The sequence below is a fragment of the Homo sapiens genome, chromosome 22, assembly GCF_000001405.40.
Source record: "Homo sapiens chromosome 22, GRCh38.p14 Primary Assembly".
NCBI lineage: Eukaryota > Metazoa > Chordata > Mammalia > Primates > Hominidae > Homo > Homo sapiens.
The window spans coordinates 30,218,594-30,237,306 of NC_000022.11; the positions used below are offsets into that span (position 1 = coordinate 30,218,594).

The 18,713-nt window shown below is 51.4% G+C and overlaps 7 annotated features.

Moving 5' to 3' along the window:
- Positions 2,678–3,308: an enhancer, noted in NCBI's record as "H3K27ac-H3K4me1 hESC enhancer chr22:30617260-30617890 (GRCh37/hg19 assembly coordinates)". NCBI's record gives its function as "activates a minimal SCP1, AML or CMV promoter by ChIP-STARR-seq in primed H9 embryonic stem cells {active_cell/tissue: H9 hESC(primed)}" and the evidence as "EXISTENCE:reporter gene assay evidence [ECO:0000049][PMID:30033119]".
- Positions 4,289–4,790: an enhancer, noted in NCBI's record as "H3K4me1 hESC enhancer chr22:30618871-30619372 (GRCh37/hg19 assembly coordinates)". NCBI's record gives its function as "activates a minimal SCP1, AML or CMV promoter by ChIP-STARR-seq in naive and primed H9 embryonic stem cells {active_cell/tissue: H9 hESC(naive and primed)}" and the evidence as "EXISTENCE:reporter gene assay evidence [ECO:0000049][PMID:30033119]".
- Positions 4,791–5,290: an enhancer, noted in NCBI's record as "H3K4me1 hESC enhancer chr22:30619373-30619872 (GRCh37/hg19 assembly coordinates)". NCBI's record gives its function as "activates a minimal SCP1, AML or CMV promoter by ChIP-STARR-seq in naive H9 embryonic stem cells {active_cell/tissue: H9 hESC(naive)}" and the evidence as "EXISTENCE:reporter gene assay evidence [ECO:0000049][PMID:30033119]".
- Positions 8,105–8,901: an enhancer, noted in NCBI's record as "H3K27ac hESC enhancer chr22:30622687-30623483 (GRCh37/hg19 assembly coordinates)". NCBI's record gives its function as "activates a minimal SCP1, AML or CMV promoter by ChIP-STARR-seq in primed H9 embryonic stem cells {active_cell/tissue: H9 hESC(primed)}" and the evidence as "EXISTENCE:reporter gene assay evidence [ECO:0000049][PMID:30033119]".
- Positions 10,193–11,128: an enhancer, noted in NCBI's record as "H3K27ac-H3K4me1 hESC enhancer chr22:30624775-30625710 (GRCh37/hg19 assembly coordinates)". NCBI's record gives its function as "activates a minimal SCP1, AML or CMV promoter by ChIP-STARR-seq in naive H9 embryonic stem cells {active_cell/tissue: H9 hESC(naive)}" and the evidence as "EXISTENCE:reporter gene assay evidence [ECO:0000049][PMID:30033119]".
- Positions 13,011–13,644: an enhancer, noted in NCBI's record as "H3K4me1 hESC enhancer chr22:30627593-30628226 (GRCh37/hg19 assembly coordinates)". NCBI's record gives its function as "activates a minimal SCP1, AML or CMV promoter by ChIP-STARR-seq in naive H9 embryonic stem cells {active_cell/tissue: H9 hESC(naive)}" and the evidence as "EXISTENCE:reporter gene assay evidence [ECO:0000049][PMID:30033119]".
- Positions 16,746–17,248: an enhancer, noted in NCBI's record as "H3K4me1 hESC enhancer chr22:30631328-30631830 (GRCh37/hg19 assembly coordinates)". NCBI's record gives its function as "activates a minimal SCP1, AML or CMV promoter by ChIP-STARR-seq in naive H9 embryonic stem cells {active_cell/tissue: H9 hESC(naive)}" and the evidence as "EXISTENCE:reporter gene assay evidence [ECO:0000049][PMID:30033119]".

The window sequence follows — 18,713 nt, forward strand, 5'->3', positions numbered from 1 at the left end:
CCATAGCCAGGCCTCACCCCCTGCAAATAAAAGAATTAAGACTCACCACTTCTAGGCCAGGCACAGTGGCTCACACCTGTAATCCCAGCACTTTGGGAGGCTGAGGAGGGCGGATCACCTGAGGTCAGGAGTTCAAGACCAGCCTGGCCAAAATGGTGAAATCTTGTCTCTACTAAAAATACAAAAATTAGCCAGGTGTGGTGGCACACCTCCGTAATCCCAGCTACTCGGGAGACTGAGGCAGGAGAATCACTTGAACCTGGGAGGCAGAGGTTGCAGTGAGCCGAGATAGCACCATTGCACTCCAGCATGGGTGACAGAGAGAGACTCCGTCTCAAAAAAATAAATAAATAAAAAGACTCACCACTTTGTACCTACTAGGTGTGGCTAGAATCAAAAAATCACATAAGGCCAGGCATGGTAGTATATGCCTGTAATCCCAGCACTTTGAGAGGCTGAGGTAGGAGGATGTCTTGAGGCCAGGAGTTCAAGACCAGCCTGGGCAATGTAGCAAGACCCCCTTCTCTAAAAAATAAATAAATAAATAAAAGAAATAATAAAGTCACATAATGCGAGAGATAGCCAGGATGTGGAGAAACCAGAACCTCTGTCCACTGCTGGTGGGAATGCGGAATGGCACAGCCACTGCGGAACAGCCTGTTAGTTCCTCAAGTAATTAGACAGAGTTGTCACGTGACCCAGCAATCTCACTCCTCCATATGCACCTGAGAGAAAGGAAAACGCAGGCACACACAAAGACAGGAACATGAATGTTCATAGCAGCATTATTCATAACAGGCAAAATGTGGAAACTACCCACATGGAAAAACAAAATGTAGAATATCCATACAGTGGAATGTTATTCAGCCATAAAATGGAATGAAGTCCCACCCATGCTACAACATGCATGAACTTTGCAAACACTATGCGGGTGAAAGAAGCCAGTCCCTACAGGCTACATGTGGTAATTCCATATAGATATTCCGTGTATGAAATATCTAGGATAGGAAAATTCATAGAAACAAAGATCAGTGGTTTCTCGTGGTTGGGGGTGAGCATGGGGGGTGATAGCCAAAGGGTATAGGTTCTTTCTTTCTTTCTTTCTTTTTCTTTCTTTCTTCTTTCTTCCTTCCTTCCTCTCTCTCTTTCTTTCCCTCTCTCTCTTCTTTCTTTCTCTCTCCTTTTCTTTCTTTCTCTCTCCTTTTCTTTCTTTCTCTCTTTCCCTCTCTCTCTTTCTTCTTTCTTTCTTCCTTCCATCCTTCCTTCCTCTCTTTCTTTCCCTCTCTCTCTTTCTTTCCACCCTCTCTCTTTCTTTCTTTCCTTCCTTCCTCTTTCTTTCTCTCTTTCCCTCTCTCTCTCCTTTCTTTCTTTTTCTTTCTTTCTTTTTCTTTCTTTCTTCTTCTTTCTCTCTCTCTCTCCTTCCTCCCTCCCTTCCTTCCTTCCTTTCTTCCTTCCTTCCTTTCTCTCTCTCTCTCTGTCTGTCTGTCTGTCTCTCTCTCTCTCTCTCTTTTTTTCTTCCTTCCAGGGCCTTATTCTGTCACCCAGGCTGAGTGCAGTGGTGCAATCATAGCTCACTGCAGCCTCCACCTCCTAGCCTTAAGACATCCTCCCACCTCAGCCTCCTGAGTAGCTGGAGTCACAGGAACACACCACCATGCCAGGCTAGTTTGTTTTTTTTTTTCTTTTTGTAGAGATGGGGGTCTTGCTATGTTGCCCAGGCTGGTCTTGAACTCCTGGGCTAAAGCCATCCTCTTCCTTAGCCTCCCAAAGTGTTGGGAGTACAGGCGTGAGCACCTGGCCCAAGCTCTCTTTTTGCAGTGGTAAGAATGTTCTAAAATTGACTGTGGTTGCAAATATCAGTGAATACACTAAAAACCACTGAATTCTGCACTTTAAATGGGTGAATTTTACAGTGTGTGAATTCTCTCTCAATAAAGCTGTTGAAAAAAGAAAAGTGTGAAGGTGCAGGCTTTGAGAAACTCACAGGTCGGGGAGGATAGAGAAGTAAACGATTCCTGTCATAATACAGCAGGCACAGGCGGGGCACAGGGAGACGACCTGGTGAGCGGGGCTGGCTGAGGACAGGTGTCTGAGCTCAGGAGTGAAAATAAGTTTTCCACAAGAGGCCATGTTAGTACAGTGCTATGGGAAGAGAGGGGGACACCTCTCAGCCTAGGGAGCTTGGGTGAAGGGAGAGGCAATCCAGGAAGGCTTCCTAGAGCAGGTGCCATTGGGCTGAGTCCTGAAAAATGAGTCAGGCAAGAAAGCAAGAGGCAGAAGAAGATGTCACAGGTGAAAAGGGTGGAAGCCTACTCAGGGAATGTTCTGGGTGGAGGTTGGGGTGTGACAGGGAGGAGAATCCTGCCTGGTGTCCTGGGAAGGACAGTCCCCCGACATCTACCTCTACCCCCTGTGTTTCTTCAAGCAAGCCCTTGCCCCTCTCTGGGCCTGGGTTCTAACAAAAGCCCTTCCATCTCTGAGGCTGAGAGTCTCTGGGGCTCAGGTTGGAGTGATGAGGGCAAAGGGAGGGCAGACGGGGAATCAGGAGGAGGGGATGTCGTCGGGTGTCAGGGCCTGGAGACAGAGGGACCGAGGCTTCTATGGCCTTCGTGGCCACAGAGCCGGACCTGCTGCCCAGGGGCCACGTCCCCGCTACCCTCAGGCCTCCCCAGGAAACAGAAGTGCCTGGGGAGGAATCGAAACAGAAACACAGGTGTCTCTCCCTGGGCAGATTCCAAGAAAAAAAAAGAAAGTGGCCTCTAGAGAAGAGAACTTGTGAGCTTTGAAGGGAGGAAGGAAACCCAAGCCGCGAGAGGAAGCGAGAGAGGAGGGTAGGTGTGAGAGAGAAGCAGGTGCCCCAGGCGCAGGCCACACCGGCCACGGCCCACGGCCATGCCACCAGTCAGGCTTGTGGAACCCAACCGCAGGCAGCTTTGAGGGGGCACAAGAAGTGTGTGGAGGAGGAGCGGGCCCTGATGACGGTCCCCAGTGGTGCCACCAGCTTCCTGTCTCCTCGGCCCTGATACTCTCTTGGTCTCCCCAAGTCACCGTGGCCCTGGCACTAATGAGTCCTGAATTTGGAGTCATGGGGTCTCCTTTTGGCTTTTTGGAGAGTTCAGCCTTTTGGCCCCACCATGTGTGATTTGCAGTCTCTGAGCCTCAGTTTGCTTGTCTGTAAAATGGGGACCGCCAGTGCTGCTCTCCCTCTGCCGTCGGGGAGCACAGAGTGTGCACTGGAGGAAGACAAAGCAATGTGCATGAAAACACCTGGCCATGCAGACCTAAGGGATGGGAGGATCGTGGGCATGATGATATTAACCTCTTGTATGGTGATGGTATCCATTTCTTGGATGGTGAGGATATCAACCTCTTCGTGCAGTGTTTTCACCTTTCTGAAGCATCTTCTCATTACTTACCTCCTCTGAGCCTCACAGTGCCGAGTGCAAAAGGCCAGGTGGGTGTCCTTATACCCATTTGACAGGAGATAAAACTGAGGCTTGGAGAAGCAGCATCACGGAGCAGGCAGGAGAACCATGGGGATGTTGGGCTCCTGGGGCCTGGACATCACCACCCACCTCTTTGCTTTCCTCTGGCCCCGTTGGCTGCCAAGCTGGGGTAATTGGGGTCCTTGTGCTTTTCACACAGGTAGAGACCACCCCGACACCCCAAGCCAAACTTCCTGGGTCACATGGAGGGTGTTCAGGCTGGAGCAGGAAAGATTCACAAACACACCATCAAATATTTGAAAGCCTTTTAGGTAGAAGCTGAATTAGGCTAGTTCCGGGTGGTCCCAAGGGTAGAACAAGGACAAATGCCCTAGGAGGTTATAGGAACATGGAGAAGGGATTCAGTTCGTTATGGAAAAGAGCATTCTGAATACACTGAGCCAGTTACAGATAGAACATGTTGCCTGCAGGGTGGTGAGCTCCCCATCACTGGGGGCATTCAAGTGCAGGCCTGACAACCAGGTGGCAGAAGAGGTAGTGCAGAGGGGAGCAGATTCTATGAGGGAGGTTACCCTAGCACCGGGCTTCTCAACCTCAGCATGATCCACACTCTTGGAGGTGGGGGCTGCCCTTGGCATTGTAGGATATTCAGCCGCATCCCTGCTGTCTACAGCCAGTTGCCAGCAGCATCCCCAACTGTGACAGCCAAAAATGTTTCCAGACATTGTCAAGTGTGCCCTGGGGCAGAATTGCCCCCAGTTAAGAAGTTCTGGCTTAGATGACCTTTAAGACCCCCTGAGATCCTAGGATTCTGTCATTCTACACGAGGAACCACAAGAGTCACTGTCATTTTTTGAGCCCGTGTGGACTGCATGCTGCTAAGAGTCTTGGACACATCATGCCCTTTAATGTTGTAACTGCCTGGGTTGGTACCTCTTCTTACATAACCTCTCCCACTCCTCGGCTGTGTTTATTCCAACTCCTTACATCCCGGATGGCGTCCCTCCCACCCGCTGCAGGCCCTCCCTTCATCCTTCCCCCACCCATCCCATTCACACCCCATCTTTTATTATATTCCAGCACCTCTGTGCTCCCCTAAATAGCACCGTGTCTAGGGTCTCCATGTCCGTCTTCCCACTGGACGCTGGGCTCTTGGAGGGCCAGTTGGCTCTTGTTCAACTCTGGATCCCCACATAGTAGGGATTCACCACACATGTACTAAGGGACTGAGGACTGAGGCAGACACATCGGCTCAGGGGTATCCGTGAACCAGCCCTGGTCAGCTGGGGCTGCCTGACTCTGCAGCCCTCGAGTCCCCTGAATGCACCCCTGGGAAGCAGCCCGCTGTCCGGCTCCTCCGTGCACAGGTCTCTAACCCAGAGAGAGGCCCACAGTGTCCACCGGAAGGACGAGGGGCAGGACGTGTGGGCAGGAGCCTCCCCTGTAGGAGGAAATGACCTGGATAATGAGGGTGACCACAGCCTCGTTCATGAAACCCCAGATACCCGACCTGGTCTCTGTCTTCAAAGCCAGAAGGAGGACGCTTTAGGGGAAACAAGGGAAGTCCCACGGGGAAATGGTCAGGCGGAGGGCGTTCCTGTTAACTGAATATTCTGATTAAGTGGGAGCCATAGCATGGGCTGGCAGGAAGCCCACCGCCCTTTGTGGGGCTGTCTTTGTGGGGTTTCTTTCGTAGAGCGATGAAGATTTGAACTATGTTGGCAGTTTCCAAGCTTTCCGGGTGTTTTTATTTTGGTTTTAGCAGAAGAAGTCCCTACTTCTTAAAGGAAAATCTCATGTAATATCCCATATGTAAAACCCCATCCCAAGGCCAGGAGTGGTGGCTCATGCCTGTAATCCCAGCACTTTGGGAGGCCAAGGCAGGTGGATCACTTGAGTCCAAGAGTTCGAGACCAGCCATGGGTAGCATGGTGAGACTCCATCTATACAAAAAGTAAATACAAAAATTAGCAGAGTGCAGTGTGTGTGTCTATAGTCCCAGCTACTCCGGAGGCTCAGGTGGGAGGATTGTCTGAGCCCAGGAGGCAGAGTTTGCTGAGATTGTGGCACTGCACTCCAGCCTGGGTGACAGAGCAATTCTCTGTCCCAAAGAACAATAAAAAAAAAACCCTTCCCAAAGTGGCTCTGAGTCACCTGCCAGCCCCACAGAGATCCTCAGAGCCTGGTTAGAAACTCCCAAGGTTTCTCTGAGGTCCTCCTGGCTGCCGTGATCTGCGATTCTGTAACTGACCCCACCTAATGGTGAGGCGCATCCCAGCTTTACAGGATGCCCTCAGGGCTCTGCAAGGTTGCCGGTGAGAGCTGTGACTCGGGCTATCCTCGAACATGCTGAGATGGAAAATTCTGGTCATCCGAGTATTCTGTTTATTTCTGTGGGTCCCTTGGTAAACAGGAATTTACAGTACCCAGCAAAGATAAACTTATGGAACTCATTACCCCAGAAAGGGTTACAGACCAGGGACATGAGCACACCCGGTCAGACCCTGCGGTGTTTGGATGACAGAGCCCTGAATGGAGACACCCCAGGTCTGGTCCCAGCCTGACAGCAGTGGCCACAGCCTCAGGAGAGCCACTGTCACAAGGCCGGAGCTCTGAAAAGACTCACAAGCATTTTCTCATCGCTTTGAGGTTTACCATGCATTCCTTTCCTTTTTTTACTGATTGAGGAACTGAGGCTCAGAGAGGTGGAGTCCCTTGCAAGTGGCTGAAGCCAGAGTTCTCAGCTTCACTATCAGGGGCTCCCATGCCATCCACTGAGTGACCAGAGCAAAGCTGGGCTTGCCCTTTTAACCTGGAAACTGGGGCTTTTCGATGGGAGCCCACCTTCCCGTGAACATGCGTGGGTTGAGTGACTGCCCTCAGGTCAGGATTGAATTAGACTCTGATAATAGAAAGATGGGCCAGGCACAGTGGCTCATGCCTATAACCCCCAGCCCTTGGAAGGCCAAGGCAAGAGGATCGCTTGAGACTAGGAGTTTGAGACCAGCCTGGGCAACAGAGCGAGACCCTGTCTCTAAAATAATTAGCCAGGCATGTGGCACATGCCTGTAGTCCCGATTGCTGGGGAAGCTGAGATGGGAGGATTGCTTGAGCCCAGGAGTTTGAGATTATAGTGAGCTATGATCATTGTACCACTGCACTCCAGCCTGGGTGACAGAGTAAGACTCTATCTCAAAAAGAAAAGAAAAATGGATAAAGACATAGCCCTTAGGACAAAGGGCCAAGAGTTAACTTTACCAGGCAGCTGGAGAGGGGGCAAAAGGAGGTTTTGCTGAGAAGGAAGTGTCCGGGCTGATCTGGAGGCTGCGTAATCAAGTAACAGATGGAGGCAGCAGGGAACAGCATTTCCTCATAGGGAACAGCCTGAGCTAAGTGGAAGAGGCATGAGGAAACATCCCAAAAGATTCCTCCAGCTAACTGCCAAGAGTACTGGTGGGTCATTACAGAATGATGAAGAAGGGAGGGCTGGTGTCCCAGGATCAATATCCCAGAGAAGGAATAAGGGTTCTCCTTCCAGAGCCCGATTTCTAGGTTTCGGGAGCCCTGAGGCTGGCCACGGGAAACGTTTCTGATATTTGTGAGAATCTCTGAATCAGTTCTTGTTGGAGCTGGCAGAGCCCTTTAGGGGTTGTATTAGTTTCCTGTGGTTGCCATAATAAATTACCACAAACTGGGTGGCTTGAAATAACAGACATTTATTCACTCACAGTTCTGGAGGCCAGAAGTCTGAAATCAAGGTGCCAGCAGGGCCACACCCATTTCAAGGCTGTAGGGAAGAATCCTTGCCTGCTTCTTCTAGGTGGTTTCTGGAGGGTGGCTCCAGGTGCCCCGGAGCTTATGGCTGCCTCACCCCAGCCTCTGTCTCTGTCCTCACCTGGCCTTCTCCCCTGCGTGCCTCGAGCCTCTCTCCCTTTCTCTTGTAAGGACACTTGTCATTGTCTTATAAGGACACTTCTGTGGGTTGAGGACCTACATAGATATTCCAGGATGATCTCATCTAGAGATCCTTAACTTAGTTACATCTACAAAGACCCTTTTTCCAAATAAGGTCACATTCACGGGTTCCAGGAGGTAGGTGTATCTTGGAGGCTGGGGAGGGGACATCATTGAACCTACCCGGGGATCAGCCGTTCAACAACCTTATTCTGCCGTTGAGGATGCTGAGGCTCAGGTGGACAAAGGCTCTTGCCCAAAGCCAGCCAGTCAGTGACACAGGGATCCTCAGGTGCCCCAAGAGTCTTGTGCCAACACCACCATTGTCATCGTAGCACAATACGTGCATTGTTTCATACAGGCCAGACATTGTTCTGTGCCGAACCTCTCTCAACTCACAGTAAGCCTGCTCCTCAGAGGAGGAAGACAGGCACAGAGAGCTCTAGGAACTTGCCCAAGGTCACACAGTCAATTTGTGGGTTTATGGTGTCCCCCTGGAAACCCATGTGTCCAGAACAGCCTTGACACATAGGAGTCGGTATATGTTTGTGAGCGCCAGCGTGGCTCTGAGGCCTGGCGGGGAAGAACGGAAGTCTATAGTCCTGCTGGAGAGGCGGACACTCACAGGATCACTTCCTAGACTGTCGGGGAGAGGCCAGCCTGGGAGTGCCTGGGGGATTTTCCCAAGAAAGAGACCTGAGTTGAGTCACATCTAAGGAAGAATAAAACCAGTGAGAGGGAATGCCTGGGATGGGAAGGACTTCCCAGGAAAGCTGGAATGAGCATAGCATGTCCCAGGGACAAAATCAGTTCAGTTTTGCTGGAGCAGAAAGCAGGAAGCCAGGGGAAAATGAGGCTGAGGTTCAAACTTGGTCCTGAAGGTACTAGGGAGCCACGGTTGGTTTAAGCAGGAGCTATGTCAGCCGCTTTGTGTTTTAGGAAGATTGCTCTGGGAGGCCAGGGGTAGGTGAGGCCTCTGCAGGGACCCCTCTGAAGGTGCACCCTGAGTTTATCTCCAACCCCTTGCTTGGCAGGTGTGGGATGAAGCTGCAATTTAGGGCAGGAGGAGCAGTGCCTGGTCAACTCCCCTTCTGTTCCAGAACCCCAAGTCACAGGGGAAACCTGGGGGGATGGAGGAGAAAGGTCTGCAGTCACAATCTAGCCAGCGCCTGCTAGGCAGGTGGCGGCCTGTGAGAAAGCTGCTGAAGATGTTAAAGGAGGCCTGGCGCAGTGGCTCACACCTGTAATCCCAGCACTTTTGGAGGCCAAGGCGGGCAGATCACTTGAGGCCAGGAGTTCGAGACCAGCCTGGCCAACATGGTGAAACGCCATCTCTACTTTAATAAAAAATACAAAAATTAGCCTGGCATGATGGTGCATGCCTGTAGTCCCAGCTACTCGTGAGGCTGAGGCAAGAGAATCACTTGAATCTGGGAGGTGGAGGCTGCAGTGAGCGGAGATAGCACCACTGCCCTCCAGCCTGGGAGACAGAGTGAGATTCTGTCTCAAAAAAAAAAGAAAAAAAGAAAAAAGATGTTAAAGGAGGTGGTTGGGTCAGCTTTTCCCAGTGTCCATGGAATGTGGTCCTGAAAGAGCTGCTGGCAAAGAATCCACAGACATGCTGCATACTCTGTCCCCACCTGACTGCCCTTAAGGCTCTGATAAGTCCTGCAACAAACACTTCTTTTTCATTTTGTTTAACCCACTCTTTCCCAAACTTTTCTGATGCAAAGTCAGGTTTTCTTCTTTGAATGCTGGTGCACTGCCTTGTGAATGGAGAGCAACACAACTCACTTTGGGCAATGCTAGTACAGAGGAAGTACTTTGGGCAATGCTAGTATAGACCAGGAGTGAGGAGGCTTGGGTAGGGAGGTATGTTCTTTGCGAGAGCACCCACCACTTCTCTGGGCCTCCATTTCCTCCTTGCTGCCTCCTATTCAATAGTTATCTTATGTATTACAGTAACCACATAGTGTCTCTGTAGAAGGGATCTTGTGTTTCCACCCTGGGGTTCAGTACCTGGCACAGAGCCAGATGCTGAATGAATACATGAATGAAAGTCTAAAATAAGAACTGCCCGGCCTGGGCAACATAGTGAGACCCCATCTCTACAAATTAAAAAAAAAAAATAGCTGTGTGATACCCGCCTGTGATCTCAGCTACTGGGGAGGCTAAGGCAGAAGGATTGCTTGAGCCTGGAAGATCAAGACTGCAGTGAGTTGTGGCTGGGTGTGGTGGCTCATGCCCGTAATCTCAGCACTTTAGGGGGGCGAAGTGGGCAAATCACTTGAGGTCGGAAGTTTGAGACCAGCCTGGCCAACATGGTGAAACCTCATCTCTACTAAAGATACAAAATTAGCTGGGCGTGTTGGCACATGCCTGTAATCCCAGCTACTTGGGAAGCTGAGGCAGGAGAACTGCTTGAACCTGGGAGGTGGAGGTTGCAGTGAGCCGAAATCGAGCCACTGCATTCCAGCCTGGGCGCCAGGAGTGAGACTCCATCTCAAAAAAAAAAAAAGGAGAGAGACTGCAGTGAGTTGTGATGGTGCCACTGTATTCCAGCCTGGGCATCAGAGTAAGATCCTGCTCCAAAAAAAAAAAAAACAGAACTGCCTCTCCAGTAGAGCTATTATGGAATTAAGTCAACGAATGCCGATGAGATGAGATGAGTTTTATGTTAGTAAATGCCAAAGCCCTATTCACCTGTAAGGGATGACTTTTTAAATATGTGCTGTACTTCAAGGCGCCTTACTCCCCATGTTCCCCGGTGCCTAAAATTCCAGCATTAGTCACTCGTTTGCCGTAGGGCACTGAAGGCCCCAATTAAAATGTAAATGTGTGACCTAGTGGTGTTGCCATGGAGCCACCAGCACCCCTGACAGGGCCTCATGTCATCACTGTTGGCAATTTGTTCACCAGATTAGTCCAGCAGAAAATTGCTGTCGATGAAGGGACTCATCTACAGAGAACCAGAGAACTCCTATGCAGAAGAGAGAAAGTGGAGCAGGAAATGATGCTGGCCGGCATTCGGGGGGGCCTCAGGGCCCATGCATTGACCGCTGTCACCCCACCACCCTCCACTACACGCCTGGGCCGTCACCTACCTCCAAGGGCACCCGGGTCAGGGGCTTAGAGGGGCCCGCCAAGGCCATTCCCTAAGGCTGTGAGGGAAACTCTGGCCCATTTTGCCAAGGGCAACCAGCCATCCAGGGGGTCCGAGCTACACCCTGCAGGAAGCCCACGCAGCACAGCCCTCCAGCTGGGGTCAGGTCCGCCTGGCCAGCTGCGGGTTCGGGACAGGACGCCCCTTCTGGGAACACAGGAAGGAAGGGAGGGCGCTGCTGACCACTGTCAGGATGAGTCCCTTCCTCCCTGCCCCTTTCCTCACCCCTTACCTCCATGGCCCCACCCTCTTCCCCACCAGGTGGCAGCCCCTCCGAGGACCAGAGGGTGAGATGGGAGGCCCCTATCCAAGGGGTCTTACCCTAAAGGGTTTGGGAGAAACGCAGTCTCTTGGCCAGAGCCAACCTATTCCTACCATAAGCAGCCCTGGAAGCCCTAAGGAGGCAGCAGATGGGGAAACTGAGGCTCCTCCATCAGGTCTCTGCTCAAATGTCACTTTCCCGCCCACCCATCTAAATCAGCCCCTCCCCAGGCTCTGCGATAGTGTCATCTTCCAGGGCATTCTGTCACCCGCTGATACCATCCTGTGTACATAAGGACTGAGACCTGCATCCAGCCGTCATCCAGAACATAGTAGGTGGTTCGTAAATATTTGTGGAACAGGCCGGGCGTGGTGGCTCATGCCTGTAATCCCAGCACTTTGGGAGGCCGAGGCGAGTGGATCACCAGGTCAAGAGATCGAGACCATCCTGGCCAACATGGTGAAACCCCGTCTCTACTAAAAATACAAAAATTAGCTGGCCATGGTGGCAGGCGCCTATAGCCCCAGCTACTCAGGAGTCTGAGGCAGGAGAATCACTTGAACCCAGGAGGCAGAAGTTGCAGTGAGCCAAGATCGTGCCACTGCACTCCCAGCCTGGTGACAGAGCGAGACTCGGTCTAAAAAAAAAATTATATATATATATTTGTTGAACAAACAAAGGAAGTAAGAACTAGAGAAAAGGCTGGGTGCAGTGGCTTACACCTATAACCCCAGCACGTTGGGAGGCCGAGGTGAGCAGATCACTTGAGGCCAGGAGTTTGAGACCAGCCTGGCCAACATGGTGAAACCCCATCTCTACTAAAATACTAAAAATACAATAATAACAATAATAATAATAATAATAATAATAATAATAACCAGGCATGGCGGCGGACACCTGTAATCCCAGCTACTTAGGAGGCTGAGGCACGAGAATCGCTTGAACCCAGGAGGCAGAGGTTGCAGTGAGCCAAGATCCCACCGCTGCACTCCAGCCTGGGCAAGAGAGCAAGATTCTGTCTCAAAAAAAAAACTGCAGAAAAGACTGTCAGACTCATTTGAAAGTCAGCAAAGGATTAGCTCAAGAACCCAGGCCCTGGAGGATTGCTTGAGCCCAGGAGGTCTAGGCTGCAGTAAGCTGTGATGGTGCCACTACACTTCAGCCTGGACAACAGAGCAAGACCCAATCTCAAAAAAAAAGGAAAAAAAAAGAAAGAACCCATGCCCCTGGACCCCCAGGCTTGGTCACCTGCAGGCTGTGTTCCTAAGATGACTGAGAGTGCCCACCTTCCTCTGCACACCTCTCTTCTACCCACCACCCAAAAGAGGGGACACTTACTCCATGGGACCCAGACACACACCCAACCACTCTCAGGCAATTATTTCCAGACATAGACCAGGGCTCAGCAACCTGTCTGTAAAGGGTCAGGTACTAACTATTTTAGCCTTCATGGACCATCAAGGTCTCTGTCATGACTAGTGGATTCTATTATAACACACACAAAAATAACCAAGACAATATGTAAATGAATGGGCGTGGCTGTGTTCCAATAAAGCTTTGTTTACAAAAACAGGCAGCTGGATGGATTTAGCAAATCAAAATTCAGGACATCCAGTTAAACTTGAACTTTAGTGTCCTGTATTTTATCTGCAACCATAGCCTGGTGGGTAGCGGTGTGCAGATCCCTAGGCATAACTGGATTGGTGTGAACCTCGCAGTAACAGGAAAGAAAGCTGCCATTTTGGAATGCTCCACAGTACGGGAACACCGGGCAGAGTGTCTTCCTTATATTAGCCCATCTGTCTTCCCAGCAGCCCTGTGAGATGAGACACAGGGTCCACACTTTGCATACGAGGAAATGGGGACACAGAGAAGAAAAATCAGGAGTCCTGGTTCCCATAGCCGGTCAGGGACAGAACCAGGACCCACACCCAGGGCAGTCTGGCTCTAAAGCCTGAATCCTCTTACACCAGCTTCACTTCACGAAAACCAAGGCTCAGAGAGGTGAAGGGATGCGTCCAGAGAGCACAGCAAGGGGGAGGCTGCCTGAGACCAGGAGGAAAGGCCTCCTAGCTTCCTGCCCACTGAGCTTTCCAGGGGCTGCCCAAGGCTTCTGTGTGTGAACTTGCAGTTCTCATTGGCCTCTTGGGCTGTCCCGCGAGTGTGTGCAAGTGTGTTTGCACACATATATGCACACAAACAGGATCGGAGTCCGAGGAGCCCCACAGTCAGTTTCAAGGGAGATGGCTCTTGTTCTTGTCTTCTTCTTCTTCTTTTTTTTTTTTTTTTGAGACGGAGTCTCCCTCTGTTGCTAGGCTGGAGTGCACTGGCATGATCTCAACTCACTGCAACCCCCGCCTCCCGGGTTCAAGCGATTCTCCTGTCTCAGCCTGCCGAGTAGCTGGGACTACAGGTACGCGCCACCACACCCAGCTAATTTTTGTATTTTTACTAGAGATGGGGTTTCACCATGTTGGCCAGGATGGTCTCAATCTCTTGACCTCGTGACCCATCTGCCTCGGCCTCCCAAAGTGCTGGGATTACAGGCATGAGCCACCGTGCCAGCCGTCTTCTTTATCACCATAGTCGGAGAGCAGGTGAGATGCTGAGAGGTGGTAGGTTAATTGATGGATTCCTTTGACCAGGGCTTCTCAGCCTCGGCACAGCTGACATTTTGGGCCAAATGATTCTTGGCGGCAGGAGGGGGCTGTCCTGTGCATTGAGGCATGTTTAGCAGCACCCGTGGCCTCCACTCTCTCGATGCCAGCAGCACCTCACCAGTTATGCAAGACAACCAAAACCGTCTCGGGGCATCGCAAAATGTCCCCTGGAGGCAAGATCGTCTCTGACCGAGAACTATTGATTTTGACTCCCTGAGGTTTGAACATCCTCAAGGGCTCACCAGGGAACCTGCACTCATCCTCTGCTCTGGAGGCCACGAACTTCCCCAGGCCGTTGGCAAAGACATTCTGGGCACCCAAAATGGTACCAGGCATTATCGGGAAACCCTAAAAAGCAGAAGGAAGGGTTAGTTTCGGCCAAGCAGTAATAAAAATCTCTGTGAGCACAGAACGAACACTAGCTGATGCAGCCTGCTGTTCCGTAGACAGCAAACGATGCTCGAAGCCAGAGGTCCCCGAACCTGCCTGTGCACGGGGTCACCCCGGGAGCTTGTTCTTTTCATGGACCCAAGTGGACTCTGGAGGGTGGTCCTGGAATCTGCCTTTTCCATGTTTCTTCCTTCCCCCACTCAGCTCTGTTTCCACCCAGCAGGTGCTTGGGGTCAAATCCTGAAGACCCCTTGGAGGGAACCAAGTGGTGGCCCCAGAGCTGCCAGCAGGGGAGGTGGTTTGGAGAAAGGACTTGGGGTGCATGAATCCTGCCACGTGGGTGGCTGACTTCCTTGCGTCAGGCTGGTCTGGTGGAGACAATGACCTCACCTGCTTGGAAGAGCCCTTGGCGGCTGCTTGGATCTGGGGTCGGGGAGGGGTCCCGAGGGCCAGACAGAGAGGAGCTTGGGGGCTGAGTACACCTCCCCCCGGCCTGGCTGCAGCCCAGCGTGGCTGCCTGTGGTCTGGCCCGGGAGCGAGGGACAGACCTCCCCCATGGCTGGCACCCGCTCAGCGGCCTCTTCCCAACCACGGTGGGGAAAGGGAAAGGGGCTGACGTGGGGCTGACCTCACGCCCGGCTCCCCCTCCTCCAGTGCCTCCCTCGGGGGTTCCCTGCTGCTGGGAAGCTGGACCTCCTGTGGGAGGAGTGGGGGAGGGGAGGCAAGCAGAGAATGCGGGAGGCTGAACTGAGTGGGGGGCTCTGGAGGCTGGGGTTGGGGAGACAGAAAGACCCCCCACACATTTCTGTACTTTCTCTGCAGCCTCCAAGAGATCTGGGGTTCCCCTTACTCCATGTGGAAGGGCTTATGAGAGTTTTAGAGGTGATCAAGAATGGACAGCCCTATGGGCAGCATAGGAGGAGGCAGACTGGGCACTGACATTCAGCTGCTGCCCGGCCTGCTTACCCAGCCTCGCGGGCATCTTCACATCTGCTTCTTACAATGGCTATCATGGGACAGATGAGGAAACTGAGGCACAGAGAATTTCAGAAACTTGCCTAAGCTCCCACAGCTGGAAAAAATAAAGCCAGGATTCAAATCCAAGCATGTCAGAGCCCTGGCCCTGTGCTGGGTACTGCACACCAGCTCTCATCTGATGAAATGAACAATGTCCTGAGAATCGCAGTGAAACGCAGATTCCAAACCAGCAGTCTGAAGTGGGGCCAAGATTCCGTATTTTGGCCAGGCATGGTGGCTCGCGCCTCTTATCCCAGCACTTTGGGATGTCATGGTGGGAAAATCATTTGAAGCCAGGAGTTTGAGAGCAGCCTGGGCAACATAGTGAGACCCTGTCTCTACAAAAATAAGTTAGCCAGGCTCAGTGGTGTGCACCTATAGTCCTAGGTACTTGGAAGGCTGAGATGGGAAGATCACCTGAGCTCAGGAGTTCAAGGCTGCAGTGAGCTATAATTGTGTCACTGAACTCTAGCCTGGATGACAGAGCGAGACCCAGTCTCTAAAATAAAAAAGAACAAAAAATGTTCTGCATCTCTAAGCTCCCAGAGGTGTAGACACAACTGGCCTGTGCTCCATTCATTTTACCTAGTGTAGCCTGGCACGGGCATTTAATAAATGGAAACTGTTATTGCTATTTCCTACATAAAGTATATATCATGTGTTCTGTGCATAGTAGGGGCCAATAAACAGTAGGTCCTTGTGAAACATGATCCTATAAAGAGAGTCTGGTGAATTCTAGAGCCCAGTAGAAACCTACGATTAGCCGGGTAAAGTGGCTCACGCCTGTAATCCCAGCACTTTGGGAGGCCAGTGTCCAGCAGATCACTTGAGGTCAGGAGTTTGAGACCAGCCTAGCCAACATGGCAAAACCCCGTCTCTACTAAAAATACAAAATTAGCCAGGGGTGGTGGTGCATGCCTGTAGTCCCAGCTACTTGGGAGGCTGAGGCACGAGAATCACTTGAACCCAGGAGGTGGAGGTTGCAGTGAGCCAAGATCACACGATTGCACTCCAGCCTGGGCAACACAGTGAGACCCTGTCTCCAAAAAAAAAAAAAAAAAAAAAAAAAAAAAACCTACAATTGGAGTTCAGATGGACTTAGGAGAGTCAAACCTGAAAGAGGCAAAGAGCACTTGAAGGATGAGGTGACATTTGAACAGGACCTTGAAGGATCAGAATTTTCTCCATAGCAAAGGAAAAAGGGCAGTCTAGACAAAAGTTCTGTGACATTTAACAGACCTCCAAGCTACCACTATGGCCTGAGGGAAGTGGTTGTGAGGGAGGTGAGCCCAGAGGTTCCGTTGAACAGAACAAGCTACATGCTTTGTAAAATGGAAATGCCAGGTCGCTGGTTGAAAAACCATTAAGAATTCCTGCATGAGGGCCCTGGGCAGCTGCCCAGACTGTGCACACATGAACTTAGCCTTGAAGCTGGGAACTAGGTCTACAAGGAGGAGTTGGCCTTACCCCGTCAGCAGCTTAAGCAGGAATTTTAAAGGCTTTTGAAGTAAGCAGATGGTTCGGTCAGACTGGAAGGCTCAAGGCAGGGGGATGGGTCTGAAGGCTGTTGCAGCAGCACAGGCTGAGTCCAGGACACAGAGGAGGGAATAGCCCGAGCCACATGGAGGCTGATTTGGACACATTTGGTCCAGGTGGCATATAGGCCTTGGAAAGATATGGGTGTGTTCGTGTCCCAAGGCTGCCTAACACATTACCACAAACCGAGTGGCTTAAAACAATAGACATTTATTCTCTCACAGTTCTGGAGGCCAAAAGTCAGAAATCAAAGGGTCAGTAGGGCTGTGCTCCCTCCAAGGCTCTGAGGGAGGAGCCTTCCCTGTCTTCCAGCTTTTGGTGGCCCTAAGCCTTCCTTGACTTGCTGCCTATCACTCCAATCTCAGCCCCTGTCTTCACGTGGCCTTCTCCTCTTCTCTCCTTTCTTAGTCTCTTATGACACTTGTCCCTGCATTTAGGGCTCACCCAGAAATCCAGGATGATCTCGCTTCGAGATCCTTAACTGAATTACGTCTGCAAAGATTGTTTTTCCAAATAAGGTCACGTTCTGGGGATTAAGACTCAGCTATATCTTTTCTGGGGGGCCACCATCCAACCGCCTACAGTGGGAAGTGCAGGTAAGGCTCCTGTTTGAGACAGGGCAGGGAAAGCAGGGAGGGGAGGAGGCTGAGAGTTCTGGACCCACGGGCTGTCAGTGCCTGGGCCTTGCCTATGGCACACTTCTCATCTATCTGCAAAGAAAGGTCCTTCAGGGAAATGGGGAGTGTTCCAGCTGGCTCGCTGGGAGGTGGGGCCTGAGTGAGTGTGCCAGGAAAGAGCCTGCTGACAGGTAGTGCCCATCCCGGCTTTGATTCATTGGCCGTCTGGGCAGGAGCTGGACCGATCAGCTAGGAATTACAAAAATGCTTCGCACATATTTTCCTCTCGCTGGTGGTTTTCTGCTTGGTTAACCCCTGCTGGGCCCCCAATCCCATTGCTCGTCTGTGTCTGCGGCTGTGGCTCTTTCTCTGCATCTCACCCGCCCCCAGCCCCAGACACTCTCTTCACATCCCCTCCCCTCTCCCCCAGTCACTGACTCTTGGCTGGAGTGGGCAGGGCTTGACCACGTCCTCATAATTGAAATTTTTGGCCCCAAAGCAGGGTGGTGCTTCCCCAAGTCAAAGGGATGGACTCAAGCTGAGGCCTCTGCTAGGGCAGGAGGAGGCTTGAGAAATGTCCTGGATGCCAAAGCCAGTGACCAGGAAAAGGCTTTTTGCCTGGGTCCCAGAGGATCCAAGTGGCCTTGTAATGAGGCAGATTTAAGGCCACTGATCCCCAATTTCCTGCCCCAATCATGTTGCCTTCCTTCCTGCCCCCACCTCATGGCATTTGCAGACTCTTCCCAGAGGGAGGAAGTCCTTCATCAATAAAAAGGGTTTTAAACTACTGGAGTTAAGGCAGAAGCTTCTGAGGCTTCTGCTCCACCTTCAAAAGTCCACCCTCAGTCAGGCTAAAGCCCCAGTTTGTGCCTGTGTCATCCTGGCCCCTTTTAGGACCCGTTTCATTGGACTGTGTCTTAGCCATTTCGGTTGCTGTAACAGAATATCGCAGACTGGGTAATTTAAAGAAAAGAAGTTTATTTCACTCACAGTTCTGGAGGCTGGGAAGTGCAAAAACGTGGCACCAGCATCTGGTGAGGAACTTTTTGCCGCATCATAACACGGCAGAAGACGTCACATGATGAGAGCTGGTGTGCACTTTAGGTCTGGCCTTTCTTCCTCTTCTTCTAGCCACCAGTCCCCATCATGAGGGCCCAACACTGATAATCTTATCTAATCCCAACTACCTCCCAAAGGGCCCACCACCAATCAACACACGGATTTGGGGATTGGGTTTCCAACACATGAAATTTGGGGGACACATTCAAATCATAGCAAGCTTCACTGGATGTCGGGCGCCAGCTTTTGCAAAGATGGCTGCAGAAACCGCCCTCCAAAAATCCACATGCCTGTGCAGAAGGCTGTGGCTGGAGGAGAGGGCATCACAACACCCCTGTCCCCCCATAAGTCTCCAGGGAGAAATTCCCTTTCGAAACCAGTCCCAGGACAGGCTCTGCTTTCCCTGAGACTCCTCTTTTTTGATTATGAGAATCACATAAGAAGATCACATTTCCATTTTCCTTTCGGCTGCCAGGAATCTCAGATCCAACTTTGAAGCTCAGCCATGGCAATTATGTGGCCCCTTGTGATCTGAAACATTTATTTTCTTTCTTTCTGTGGTCTTAGTTTTCTCACTCTGTTTATATCTTCTCTCATCCCGATTCTCTA